Below are 14,071 nucleotides of genomic sequence, written 5' to 3' on the forward strand. Positions count from 1 at the left end.
CAATATCACCCTTCCAATCAACCCTTGCATGGGTGCAAGATTGGAGGACTCTAAGATACCTGTCTGCCACCCCATGGCAAAGGACTGGGAAGTGGAATGTTTGGATTCTCTCTAGGGAAAAGCATTTTATATAATGCTTATAAATGACACAATTTCTGTGGCTTCTTGTTACTTTGGAGTTTAAGCTCTTAGTGGATAGGGAGTACTTTAAACTTTGCTTAGCTGATCCTTGGTTCTCAGTAAACAGTAAATCAATCTCCATCATGGTTTCAGAAACTCTAAAACAACTGATTTCATCCAAGAATGTATACCAGTTGGAATAATGATGTTTTTGTCTCTATATTTAGCAGTCAGTGTATAATAATATTTCCTATATAAATGTAAGCTAGTATTGCTTTCAAAACATTCTCATACCGCCAGGCGTGGAGGCTCATGCCTATCATCTCAGCACTTTAGGAGGCCGAGGCAGGAAGATCACTTGAGGCCAGGAGTTTGAGACCAGCCTGGGCAACATGTTGAGACCCCATCTCTACAAAAAATAAAAATAAATCCCTTGGCATGGTGGTGCATGCCTGTAGTCCTAGCTGCTTCGGAGGGTGGCTGAAGTGGGAGAGATCCCTTGAACCCAGGAGGTTGAGGCTGCAGTGAGCTGTGATTGCACCACTGCACCACAGCCTGAGCAACAGAGATCTTGTCTCAAAAAACAACAATAAAAAAGAACAAAAAAACCTTCTCACACTTGTTATCTTGTTAAAGGTTAAAGGTGAAAGTGAATTTTAATGACTGTAGTTTTGATTTGAAACCTTTGGCAAGAGCTCCTTATCTTTTGGAATCCCAGGAAGAAGAAAAAACAGTTATTTACAAGTAAGTCTGTTCTTCCATAGCTTTGCTCTTCTTTTGCTAAGATGCTAGGCTGTGCTGCCATCCCCTGCCATCCTTTCATGTTGCTGAGACGGTGCTGAGGCACACACAAAGCTCCATTGTGGCAGGACACCGGGCATCTCCTACCACTGTGTCTGGTGAGGTGGCAACACTTCCCAGGCTTTTCTGGTCTTAAAGAACAAGTAGGCTGGGTGCGGTGGCTCCCGCCTGTAATCCCAGCACTTTGGGAGGCCGAGGCGGGCAGATCACCTGAGGTCAGGAGTTTGAGACCAGCCTGGTCAACATGGTGAAACCCTGTCTCTACTAAAAATATAAAAATTAGCCAGGCGTGGTGGTGGGCAACTATAATCCCAGCTATCTGGAAGGCTGAGGCAGGAGAATTGTTTGAACCCGGGAGGCAGAAGTTGTAGTGAGCCAAGATTGTGCCACTGCACTCCAGCTTGGGCGACAGAGCAAGACTCTGTCTCAAAAACAAACAAACAAAAAAACCAAACAGCAACAACAAAACAAGTAGCTAATACAGAAATAACAAACACAGAAATGGAAAAAAAATTGTTAACAACTTGTACTAAAGCTAAAAGGTTAGGAGATTTAAAATTGAATTGGAGTAGTATAAATGGAGTTTGGGACTGGTTTGGGTGGGTAGTAGCTGTTACAATGTTGTACCTAGAGTGAAAGATGTTGTTGTAAACAGAGAATGGTACATACTATCAAATACTATGTATATAATGTGGGGAATCATCTCAGCTAACTAGTTTTAGAATTAAGAGATTTCTCTACATAATTATGTATCTTGTGACTATCTGGTTAAAAGTCGTGCTGCCCCTCAGATATTGCTGGAGGGAATGTAAAATGGTGCAGCAACTTTGGAAGGCAGCTTGGCAGTTTCTCAAGATGTTAAACATTAAATTATTATGTGACCCAGAAATTCCGCTCCTAGGTTTCTACTCAGGAGTAATGAAAACATATCCACATAAAGGCTAGGATATGGATGTTCATAGCAGCATTATTCACAACAGCCAAAAAAGTGGAAACAACCCAAATGTCTATCAGCTGATGAATGGATAAACAAGATGTGGTATATCCATACAATGGAATATTACTTGGCAATTAAAAGGAAAAAAATACTGATACATGCTGCAACATAGACAAACTTCAAAACCATTGTACTCAGTGAAGGAAGCCAATAACAAAAAGCTACATATAGTATGTTTTTTTATACAAAATGTTCAGAAAAGGCAAATCTGTAAAGACAGAAGGTAGATAGTAGTTGCTTAGGGCTGGGGATGGGAGTGGAGAGTGACTTAATGAGCATGGAGCCTTGGGGTTAATGAAAATGTTCTAAAATAAGATTGTCGTGGTGGTTGCACAACTCTGTAAATATACTAAAAACCATTGACTTGTACACTTAAAATGGGTGAATTTTATGTCATATAAATTACACCTTATTAAAATTGTTCATAATAATAATAAAAAAGGAACCTAGCAAGGTGCAAGAAAAGTGAGCTTTTATGACTTTCTAGGAGATCGGCTTACAATTCTCTGTTCCTAAAAAGTGCCCGAAGTAAGCTGCAGTAGTTTCCTTTTCCTGAACAGGTTCAGAATTTGTTGAATAAATACAGTGTGGCAGAAGCTGGAGGGCTTTTAGAGATGCTGGTATGACCAGCAGAGAGAACAACTAATTGTCTCCTGAGGACCTTAGTGATGTACCGTAGAAACAGATGACAGCTGGGGAGGGCGTTGGCCAACATGGGCTCATTGTCCTTGAGGTGTGGTTTAACCATTTGCTGGGTTGTTTCTTGAATAGGAGCCACAAGTGAGGGGAAAAAGGAAGTGTCCAAACTAAGCCCTATTCCCTTGGTAGCTGAAGGCCTTAAAAGACAAAATGATTGATTGAAAAGAGAATTGAGACTCACTCTTGCATATTAGGGTCCAAAGGAGTAAGTTCTTCTGCAATCCCTAATTACCAGAGTCTCAAATAGACCTGTTTGGGTAAGATTTTACAATAATCAGCATCTTAATTCTATTTAATTTTGATAAATGATATAAAAGGAGAGATTTTGTTCTCAAATACATCTTCTAGCAAAGCGAGACCCACGTGTGAAGGAGGATATTGCATTTCTGGAGTAGTGGGTTCCTGTATTTTAGACTAGAGGCTTAAGTCTAGGCTCACTCTAGAAGAAAGAGGAAGACTGGATTCTCTTCCATGAATAAGGGAAGCATCCCAATTCTGGCAGCAGGGGTGGAGAAGGCATATTTGTCCTTGGCAGAGTTAGACCTTCTCAGGGAGGGCAAACTGGACAACTCTATGAGGGATCATTCACTCCAAAGGACCCAAAGCTGTTTGATTAAGCAGCACAGAGATTACAGCTGAAACTATGACTAGAGCAAGGCAATACTATTTATTTGGGTTTATTTTCACACAAAAAAAGTAAATACGTTTATTTTCATAAAAATACACAAATTCACATAGAACTCATCAACTTCAAATTTAAATAAAAATATTAAGTGCTACAGTTGAGTTGAGAGTTAAGAGAATCCCTTCCTTTCTGGTTCCTTCCTGCAGAAACAAAGGGTCATCCTTTCTAGAAAGAGAACCGCTGTGCTATCAGGAGGGAAATAATCCAAGTGCCAAAGAGGCCATCTCTGAAGGGTATTTTTCTTCCTTGAGCCTCAGCCAGGAACGGGAGGAAGACCAGGATGGGTAAGAGCTGGGGCTGTCCCATTTCATCATACATAAGGTGGCAATCGCTGATACCAAAATCTGAGCACCTGGGAACTTTCTTTGTATGGCAGGCTTCCAGGAAGAGAGGAGGCAGTGGGGAATAGGTTAGAAGCAGCTGAGGGGCAGGTGCCCTTTATTCAGAGGGAATGGAGAGGGCTGCCCTGGCCCCCTGGTGGAGTCACACGATGAGGGTGCCCCCTGGTGGAGCCACACGATGAGGGTGCCCCCTGGTGGAGCCACACGATGAGGGTGCCCCCTGGTGGGTGGGCCACGCTGTCCAGGATTTCCCCAGCCCCTCTCTCAGTCCGCCATCTCCACCCTGTCTCTACCATTTACCACTTAGCATAGCCAAGCCAGGCCCCACATTTTGTTAACCTTAAGGCAGTCAAGATAGGTAGAAAATTTTCAAAAGGACCAATACTAAATTCAAGTAGTAAAATTTAGGAAGTGAAAGCCCCCATATTGAGAGATTGCCAGCAGCAGAGAGGAGCACCCACGCTTCCTCACTCGGCACCTTGTGACTCCTGGATTGCATTAGGGCTGAGTGAGGGCTTGTTCTCTGTGGACCCTGGAGTAGGCCCTGTGACTGGTGGAAAGGATCCCGGGAAAAAACTCAGGAATAAGAAAGGAGAAGGTGAGACTTCAGACTGAAATTATTAGAAATGCTTGGAAGTAAAGGAGGAAAATGAAACTGAGGAACCAGAAAAATGCCCAGACCAGTTAATTAAAACCTGGAGTAACCAGGAGATCCAGAGTTTCCTAAAAGAATGGGAATTTCTTGCATTTGAAGAGTTGAGAAGAAGAATCATGAATTATTTAGAGGAATTGCCCAGTGTCTCAAGCAGCGGGGCATAAAGAAGAGCTGGCACCGATGTCTCCAGCTGACAAGTTTGCAGGGCTTGTACTGGACTCCTCATGAGGCCAACTCAAGGCCAAGGAGCAACCCTGGCCCTATCCTTACAGAGAGGCCCTACACAGTATTCTGGGATACATATAAAAGGACAATGCCTTTTCAGGTCCTCTCTGTGCAGATGTGATCATCCCTCCAACTCCTAGTACCAGCCCCTGTCTGCTCTGAGGCTCTGCTGTCAGTCCCCTACGTGATCTCCAAGGATCCTCAGGTCCCAGATGGGAGCCCTCCACGGTCAGCTGCATGCCTGTTGTCTGCTGTTGTCTCTGCAGCCCCCAGCCCCTAGCAGCAGCTGTCAACCTCTTCTGACCCTGATCTGGATTCTGAACTTAAAGACATTTAGAACCTGGATTCTTGATTCTGTCTGAATGACCATGGAAGAGCACAATTTTATATCCTGGTGCTTGACTCCTTCCTCTCCCAGCATGTGCAATAAATGAAGAAAAAAGCCCCAACATTTAAAATGGAAAGTTTATAGAAATATTAGGTGTTGGGCCATGTGCGGTGGCTCATGCCTATAATCCCAGCACTTTGGGAGGCCGAGGTGGGCAGATCACCTGAGGCTGGGAGTTTGAGACCAGCCTGATCAACATGGAGAAACCCCGTCTCTACTGAAAAATACAAAGTTAGCCGGGCATGGTGATGGAGTCCTGTAATTCCAGCTACTCAGGAGGCTGAGGCAGGAGAATCGCTTGAATCTGGAAGGCGGAGGTTGCGGTGAGCTGAGATCACGCCACTGCACTCCAGCTTGGGCAACAAGAGCAGAACTCTGTCTAAAAAAAAAAAAAATATATATATATATATATGTATGTATTCACATATATATAGATAGATAGATAGATATAGGTGTTTACAGAACATAGATTTCTCATCCTAAGGTAATGATGGTTAAACTTGGTGGCCATTTGACTGAGATAGCCCAGCCTACCATTTCTGGGTCTAGGTGGAGCTTCTCCCTCCAGTTCTCTTGTCCAGAGTCAGCCTCTTAGGAGTGTATTCGAGAAGTCATGGCCTTCCTCCCCACTCCCAGTTAGAAATCAGCACGTGAATGGCCTGTCTTCTGAGTATCCTTCAATCTTGCCATCTTCCTTTCTGACTGTCTCTCCATTTCCCCACTCCTACCCTTAAAGGACAGGGGTGCTACTTTTTTTACTCATTCATGAAAATTTACTAACCTTTTCTTTTGTGTGTTTAGCTCCTTTTACTGCCATGTTTTGGTATCCTCCCATGTGCTTGCTTGCTTGCTTCCTCAAAATTTTAACAAGCGCCAACTCTGAGCCAGGCAGTGTTTGAGGGGCTGGAGACACAGTGGGAAACAAAACAGAGACGGCTCCGATTTCCTGGAGCTTACATTTTGATGGGGAAATAGACAGTAGTCAACCAAATAAACACATAACATCACGTGAGTTAGTAATAAGGAAAACAAAGCAGGTAGAGGGGGTGGGGTGGGAGAGTGGGGGACGAATGAAGAGGACTGTTTTAGGTGGAGAAGTCAGAGGAGGCTTCTCCTCTGAGATGACGTTTGTGCAGCAGGCTGAGGAACCCAGGGAGTGAGGCGTGGAGAGATCTGGGGAAAGAGTGTTGCGCAGATGGATGGGCCCAGGCAAAAGCCTGAGATGGGAGTGAGGCTGGTGTGTTCAGGAAACAGCAAGAAAAAGTGGGGAGGCTGAAGATAGTGAGTGCTGAGAGAGGGCGGGAGGTGAGGCTGGAGCAGAGGCAGGAGCCAGGCAGGTTGGGGTTACAGGCCGGGAAAGGGAGTTAGAATAAAATTCAAAGTGTGAGGGGAAGCTGTGCGGAGGTCTGGAGTAGGGGGGAAATCATATCTAATCAGCATTGTACAAAGAACATGGCTGCCGCATAAGCAACTGCTGATGCTGGAGCCGAGGCAGGGCCGTCAAGGCAGTTGAGGGTTCCAGGCCAGGTGAGAGCGAGGGCTCCAGGCTCCAGCGTGGGTGGAGAGGAGCTGGCAGAGCTCCCTTGTTAGCGTGGAAGTGGGTGAAAGCGAGAAATCAGTGCGGAGGGGCCTGGGTGGATTGTGGTTCTAGTCACTGACCTAGGGAGGTCTAGGGGGAAAGCAGGTTTGCAGGGAGAGAAGTGCAGAAGTGAGGAATAACCGTGTTTGGGGCTGATTCCATTGCAATCATTATAATACCGGAGGAGGATTTGTAGGGTGTGATTTTAGAGCAAATGAACTCTTCCCCTCACTGTCCATTTAAACCTGTTCTGTTGGGGTTGGTTCTTCTCCTGCCCTGGGCATTCTCAGATAATAAACAGCCTCTGGTTATGAAGACAGTCTGTTCAGTAACTAATATGGCCAGTCTCGTATAACATAATGACCAAAGCTTCAATCTTCATTTAAGGTCTCCCTCCCCGCGTTTGGGGCTGCTGAAGCTGGAGCTATAAGAAAGAAGAGGGAGGTAGATGTCTTCTCTCTTTCCCTTCTTACTCTCCTATTCCTTACCCCTGTTTCTTGCCACTGTGATTTCTGATATCTTCAGAGTCCACAGTGGGAGGGAGGAAAGAGAAATAATGGGTGGGTAGGAAAGTTCTTACCTATTAATTTTATGATGATCTATTTCAGTGTAAGGCATTCTCTGGGCTTGGCAGGGGTTTGAAGCTAGTGGTTTTTCTCATGGGGCACTTCCAAGTGATCTTCAGAGAAAATTCCTATTGCTTGGAATTTCTCACCGGATTTCTTTTCCAGGTGTTTGCTTAGGACTGTCTCTGGCTCTAAGCATCTGATGGAACTGCCACTACTTCATTCTTCACTTAGGAACATAGCCTCTATCACCTAAAGAGATACTGAGACTAAAATTAGATCCATTTCAGTATCTTTGTAGATGCTCATCCTATACCCAAGAGGAGATATACAGTAGGCAGGTGGATGTACCGGTCTGGAGTTCAGGGGAGACTGGGGGTGGAGACAGGTTTTTGAGAGTCATCCTCATATAGATGCTATGTGAAATCATGCAATCACCTGGGGGTGAGTGTCAAAGAGAAGAAGGCCGAGGGTTAGTCCTGCGGAACGCCAAGATTTAGAGGTTGGGGCAAGGAGGCAGAGCTGGTGAAGGAACATTCATGGAGCGAGAGGTTGGTATGGAAGGAAGCAAAGCAGAAGTATGTGCTGCTGCAGAGGCCCAGTAGAGAAAGGGTTTCAGAAAAGAGGGCATGCCCAGCCATGTGGCAATGCTGCTGAGAGGGAGGTAAAATGAGGACTGGGGAGATATAGGCCTAACTGCTGATTTTCATCAGAGAGGTTAAGTGGAGCAGCTGAAATGAAAGCTGATTAGAGTGGGTTCAGGAGAGAATTGGGGTGAGGAAGTGGAGACAGAATAAGCAATGCTTTTGTGGGGTTTTGCTATAAAGTGGCTGGAGAAGGTAAGGTAAGGGAATATTTTTATCAGCGATATTGATATTATAACATGTATGTTTCCTGATGGGAATGCTCCCATAGAGAGGGAGATTTGATGATGCTGGAGAGAGAGGGGGTATAATAGAAGGGCAGAGTCCTTCCACAGGTGAGGAGGCAGCACCCTGGACTCAGGTGGACAGGACACTCTATCCATTGTATGAAGAGGGAAGGCTGAGTACATGGATATAGGTCAAACTAGCTCAGTGGATTTTGCAAAGGAAGATTGTTTCCTTCTGTTTACTCATTTTCTCAAGTGAGATCATCAGCTGATCGCGAGGCACAGAATAGAGAATTTAGAGGTTTGAAGAGAAAAGGGAAGAAAGGAACCTAGTATTTTCTAAATCACAACAATCCAAGTGGAAATTAGTACTCCAAACATGTTGACATCTGAAAGCTGAGACCACAGGGGTTCCCTCAAATCATGTCACACATCAGTGATCCACCCCATCTATTTGACCATGTCCCTGAATCTCTCAGTGCTTCTGACTCCAGACAGCGCGAGGAAAGGCTGAGGCAGGAGGCCTAGGTGGAGACCCTGCCTGAGAGATGAGTCACTCGGCTCTGGCAGGACAGGCTTCAGGGGGATCAGCTCAGCTTAGCTGGGGAACGCTTTCTGCTCTCGTAAGCCCCTCATCCCCATACCACACTCAACTCTTCCCTTTTGTCACCTTCAAAAGGTTTCAGCAACCAAGGAGCACACACCCTGATCCTTGATTGGTGAAAGGATACACAAAATCAGGCTGCTTCAGAGGAAGTCATCTGCTCACAGGAATCAGGGTGAAGGCCAAGGACGGCACTCAAGAATTGTCCTGTCTCTAAAAAAAAAGCATCTGCAACGAACTTCCTTTAATTTTTGAGTTCAGTGTCTGTGATAATTAAGAAATGGCAATACCATGTATTTTCCCCAGAAGTTAAGAAATATTGCTGAACGAACCAATAAAAATAATTACAGCTCCCTCACTAAGTGTCCATCTCTGTATATTTGGCTTGTTCCTCAATTAAGGTATGCTCCCTTTGGTCATGCACACTTCATGGCCACATCCACATATCCTCCCCAGGTTTTCCCAACATTCTTTAGAAAATTTAAAAATTCATTTGGGGTTGGCCAGGTGAGGTGGGTCATGCCTGTAATCCCAGCACTTTGGGGAGGCTGAGGCATGTTGCCCAGGCTGATCTCGAACTCCTGGGCTCAAGCGATCCACCCGCCTCGGCCTCCATCTGAACACCTGTCTTGAGGTCAGGAGTTCGAGACCAACCTGGCCAACGTGGCAAAACCCTGTCTCCACTAAAAATACAAAAATTAGCCAGGTGTGATGGCACATACCTGTAATCCCAGCTACTTGGGAGGCTGAGGCATGAGAATTGCTTGAACCCTGGAGGTGGAGGCTGTAGTGAGCCGAGATTGCACCACTGCACTCTAGCCTGGGTGACAGGGCAAGACTCCATCTTAAAAAAAAAAAAATTCATTTAGGGTATAATTACTCACTTGCTGATTCTAAACATTGCCCTCTGGCTCATGTTGAGTTTGAATCTTGGTCACAGGAAGACACAGTAGGACACAGAGCATAGAAGAGTGGAATTCTGTTTTCCTTAGGCAAAGGGACACCATGGTAACCTTTTCAAAAGACTTGGGGGAGTCTGACTTCTTCAGTTCTGTCTGTTCCCCAAATATATATAATTCCAAGATCCCCCTCTTTCCTAGTCAATGCCCTAGATTTCATATAAAAGACTGGCAGCAATGTTAATCCATCTGGAATTGCAATTCAGCAACCTACAGGATCAATTTATGAACTTGAGGGCCACAGATGGAATAAGATTTATTAAAAATAGTGGCCCTATATTTTAATGCCTTGCACATTCTGGCATCTGAGCTTTATATTATCTTGCTTTAAATTATCCATTTTTCTCTCATTCCATATTCCTCATCCTCTTTAAATTATTCTACCCTGACAGTTATCTAGTCTCCCAACATCTCACCCCTAATCAATATATGGTTCTAAGTGAAACTAGATTTTCTTTCTTTCTTTCTTTTTTTTTTTTTTTGAAACAGGGTCTCGTTCTGTTGCCCAGGCTGGAGTGCAGTGGCATGATCATGGCTCACTGCAGGCTGGACCTCCCAGGTTCAAGCAATTCTCCGCCTTTCAGCCTCCCGAGTAGCTACGACTACAGGTGTACGCCATCATGCCTGGCTAATTTTTTGTATTTTTTGTAGAGATGAGGTCTCACCATGTTGCCCAGGCTGATCTTGAACTCCTGGGCTCAAGCGATCCACCCGCCTCAGCCTCCCAAAGTGCTGGGATTACAAGCATGAGCCACTGCACCTGGCTGAAAACTAGATTTTTAAAACTTTATACTATGCACAATTTCAGAGAATTACAGAAAAAATAATTATAATTGTATAATGAATCCTTATGTTTCTGACATCCAGCTTCAATACTGATTACCTCATGTCCAGTCTTGTTTTGTGTATATGCATACCTACTTCTCAACCCTAACTGGATGACTTTGAAGCAAATCCCAGATGTCGTATCACAAATATAGTTGCTCATTCCACATGGTGAAGAGAAGATGCCTTTCCTTTCCCTGCACTTTGACACGAATACCAATTCCAAATATCTCACATTTCCTCTGAAGCCTTGTACTATTTCTGTATTATTTGAGATCATTTGTATTGCAAGTAACAAGCTAACCAGAGCTAACATAAGCACAAATGGTCCCTGGTGGTCTAGTGGTTGGGATTAAAAAAAAAAATTTCATTGAAAGAGTGCCAAAGCATCTTACAGAACCCTGAGAAAAAACTGAATTCCACAGGAATGGCAGGAACCTTGACAGCACTGGCCCCTGAGCAGCAGGCATCTCAGACCCTTCTAGGCTGTTGTCATGAACGTGACTCACAACACCTTTCCAAGTCTCTGTTTTGGTTAGACGTCTATAATCCTAGAAGAAAGACAGGAGAATCTGATCCTAGACTTGGGTCAGGTGTACACTCCTTGACCAATTAGCCACAGAGAAGAACAGGGAGGTGCTGCCATCGAGTCCACCTCTGGCCAGGTGAAGTGGCTCACGCCTGTAATCCCAGCACTTTGGGAGGCCGAGGAGGGTGGATCACCTGAGGTTAGGAGTTTGAGACCAGCCTGACCAAAATGGCAAAAGCCCATCTCTACTAAAAATACAAAAATTAGCTGGGCATGGTAGGGGGGCACCTGCAAGCCTAGCTACTCAGAAAAGCTGAGGCGGGAGAATCGCTTGAACCCAGGACGGGGAGGCTGCAGTAAGCCAAGATTGCGCCACTGCACTCCAGCCTGGGCAATAGAGCAAGAGACGCCATCTCAAAAAAAAAAAAAAAAAGTCTACCTCTGTGAGTGGAGTCAGGGATTTGCCAGAGATGGGACCACGCAGGCATCTCTAATCCACCATGTGGAGCAAGGAGGCCAGGAATCACTGAAGAAAGCTGAGCCCAAAAAGACAGGCAGGAATCTTACAGGTCATGCTAAAGCGTTTGGAATTTATGGGGAGACCCTGAAGGATTTTATAATACTCTAGTTCTTGGCATTTTTTCCCTTTTATATTACTTCATCAGTCAAAACAGACTTCTAGAAATCACATCAGCATTAAAGGGATATTGTTACTTCACCTTGACTTTTTATAGAAGGAGAAAAGTCTCGGTAAATCAGTTCTGTTCCATGAATCAGTCATTACTGCCTTCTCCATAGCCTTTCCTTCGTTCAAGTAAATTTAGAAATTTCTTAAGTTTTCTTTATAACAGGTAGCCTAAATCTATATCATACTTTTAAAATAAAAATCTAGGTGCAAATTTGTTCTTATGGTTAAGGTTAACATGTACACTTCACAAACATTGAGACTTTTGTTTTGTTTTCTGGGACAAGGTCTTGTTCTGTCTCCCAGCTGGAGTGGATACAAGCATGGCTTGCTTCAGCCTCAACCTCCCGGACTCAAGTGATCCTCCCACCTCAGCTTCCTGAGTAGCTGGGACTACAGGTGCCTGCCACCATGCCCAGCTAATTTTTAAACGTTTTGTAGAGACGCGGTCCCATTGTGTTGCCCAGGCTGGTCTTGAACACCTGGCCTCAAGCGATCCTCCTACCTCGGCCTCCCAAAGTGCTGGGATTACATGCATGAGCCACCATGACTGGCCTAGACTTTTTGATTTAAAGAGACTTTTTGGATAGAAATGCTTTTCTCTATTACAGTTATAAATGACTAAAAATACTAGCTATGCCAAAATGGCAACCAGAGGCCGACTGCAAAGCTTCAAAAGGCTTGATGCTCTCCTGGTAGACAAGTCTTCAGTCTCTTAAATGTTTTTTTCATATGTTGACATTGAAATTTCATTTTGTGTAGATGTTGGGATTATGTCTCATTCATTTATTTATTCATCATTCACTTAGTAAGTATTTAAGTGCCTGTTTTTCCCAGGTGCTCTGCCAGGTTCTGGGGATATAAGGATGAGCCAACATAGGCTCTCTGCCCTAAAGTTAGTGGGAGAAACAGTAACAAAAGATTTTAATACTATGAGATTAACTGACTTAGTTGTGGTATGTAGAAAGAGACACAGAGCCTGCAGCAAGAGCCTAGGTGAAGACTCAGTGAAGCACTACCTATTGAAAGGAGAATCTTTCAAATCCTTAACAGTTATTTTCACCATGTAAAAAAGGCGACATTGCCAGGGAACATCAAGTAAAGAGACAAATGCTCAGGTAAGCTTTTAAATCATATGAGATTGAAATAAGTTGATTCAGTAAATCAGGGAAACTTTTATTTTCAAATGAAGTAAGGAAGAAGCTAGGTAGAAATTAAAAATCCTATTTTGTATCACCTTTTGCTTATACTTAATGTAGTTTAAGCCATCAGTATATTATACTTTTCTGTGTATGTCGTCTACTCAACAGGAATTTTCTGTTCGCCTGCTATTTGGGTCAGTCATAGATGGTCCCATGTTATGAGAAAGATGTAAAGATGAGATAGATTCAGCTCCTTTTCTCGAGAAGATTATACCATATAAGGAAGTAATTTGCTGAATGGTCTCTCAGTTAGCCTGACTAGAATCTCTAAATCATGGTCTACACAGCAGTAATGAGGAACTTTGGCCCCTCAAGTGTCAATGAAGGCCAACTGGGGCACCTGGATTCCTATCTCCATCTGGCAGTAATGAGGTGGTAACCTCATTAACCCTGTTAGATTGGTGTTGGAGAAAGCCAGCTAAAACAGAAAGTTTAAATAAGATCCAGAGTCTCATAATATAAACTGAAAATGTTCAGACTTCAATAGAGACCAGCACTGAGATGACAAAGATGTTAGAATAAGCTCACAGACTTTTAAAGTTGCTATGAGAAAACTGCTTCAATGAGCAAATATGGATACACTTGAAGCAAATGAAAAAATAAAAATCCTGAGCAAACAGGAGATACAAAGAAGAACCAGATGAAAATTGTAGAACTGAAAATTACAATAGCCAAAATAAAAAGCTCAGCAGTTAAGCTCAACAGTAGAATAGAGAAGATGGAGGAAAGAATCAGTGAGCTGGAAGATAGAACAATAAAAATTACCCAATCTTAAAAAATGAGAAAATAGACTGGGGGTGGAGGGAAGAAGAGAGGCTTAAGTGGCTGTGGGGGCTATAATAATATTCATGTCATCAGAATCCCAGAAGGACGAGAGAAACAGGCAGGACTAAAAAACATACTTGAAGAAACATTGGCTGAAAACAGAGTAATCCTTGTAGTGGTGTCCTGATACACCTGATACAAGATAATATCCTGTATCTTGACTGTAGCTATGTCAAATCTTGGTTGTGATAATGTACCATACCTTAAACTATTAACAATAATTCTAGATATCATTAAATTTGTAGTCAGAGTTTTCGCATTTTCCTGATTGGCCCAAATGTTTTGAAGTCGGTTTCTTCACATCAGAATCCAAACCAGGTCCACCTGTGGCACCTTCACCCTTCAGTGGGAGTAAGGAGCCGGACGCGTCACTTAAAACCATTCCTCTTACGTTGTCACCCTCAATCTTACAGGTAAATGGCAAATTCTCTTTCGTATTAGTGTACATGCCTCGATAAAAGTCCAGAAGGGCGGCGGGGGCCTCGGCGGTTGAAGGCCCGCGTGCCCTGGCTCCT

The 14,071-nt window shown here is 43.8% G+C and overlaps 1 protein-coding gene and 1 long non-coding RNA gene across 4 annotated transcripts in view, besides 1 other annotated feature; one reads left to right on the plus strand and one right to left on the minus strand.

The window, feature by feature from the left end:
• Positions 1-8,889, plus strand: part of FAM228B (family with sequence similarity 228 member B) — a 92,806-nt gene extending 83,917 nt beyond the window's left edge. For 2 of the 3 annotated variants that reach the window (NM_001291328.2, NM_001145710.2), the window contains exons 8-11: positions 757-864; positions 3,449-3,586; positions 6,878-6,934; positions 8,607-8,889. In NM_001291328.2, coding sequence (NP_001278257.1) covers positions 757-864; positions 3,449-3,586; positions 6,878-6,920 — 289 coding nt within the window. In that variant the 3' untranslated portion in view covers positions 6,921-6,934; positions 8,607-8,889. The remainder of the gene's footprint in view (positions 1-756; positions 865-3,448; positions 3,587-6,877; positions 6,935-8,606) is intronic. The other variant, NR_111929.2, reaches the window with a different exon arrangement.
• Positions 4,011-4,070: an enhancer, noted in NCBI's record as "active region_15428". NCBI's record gives its function as "activates an Ori minimal core promoter by ATAC-STARR-seq in GM12878 lymphoblastoid cells {active_cell/tissue: GM12878}" and the evidence as "EXISTENCE:reporter gene assay evidence [ECO:0000049][PMID:35858748]".
• Positions 5,251-14,047, minus strand: LOC105374328 (uncharacterized). Its single transcript, XR_939833.4, has 4 exons — positions 13,759-14,047; positions 7,071-7,308; positions 5,693-5,814; positions 5,251-5,290 (listed from the first exon to the last, which is right to left on the minus strand). It is a non-coding gene; the product is annotated as an uncharacterized LOC105374328 (long non-coding RNA).
• Positions 14,048-14,071: the final 24 nt, after the last annotated feature.

The sequence above is a fragment of the Homo sapiens genome, chromosome 2, assembly GCF_000001405.40.
Source record: "Homo sapiens chromosome 2, GRCh38.p14 Primary Assembly".
NCBI lineage: Eukaryota > Metazoa > Chordata > Mammalia > Primates > Hominidae > Homo > Homo sapiens.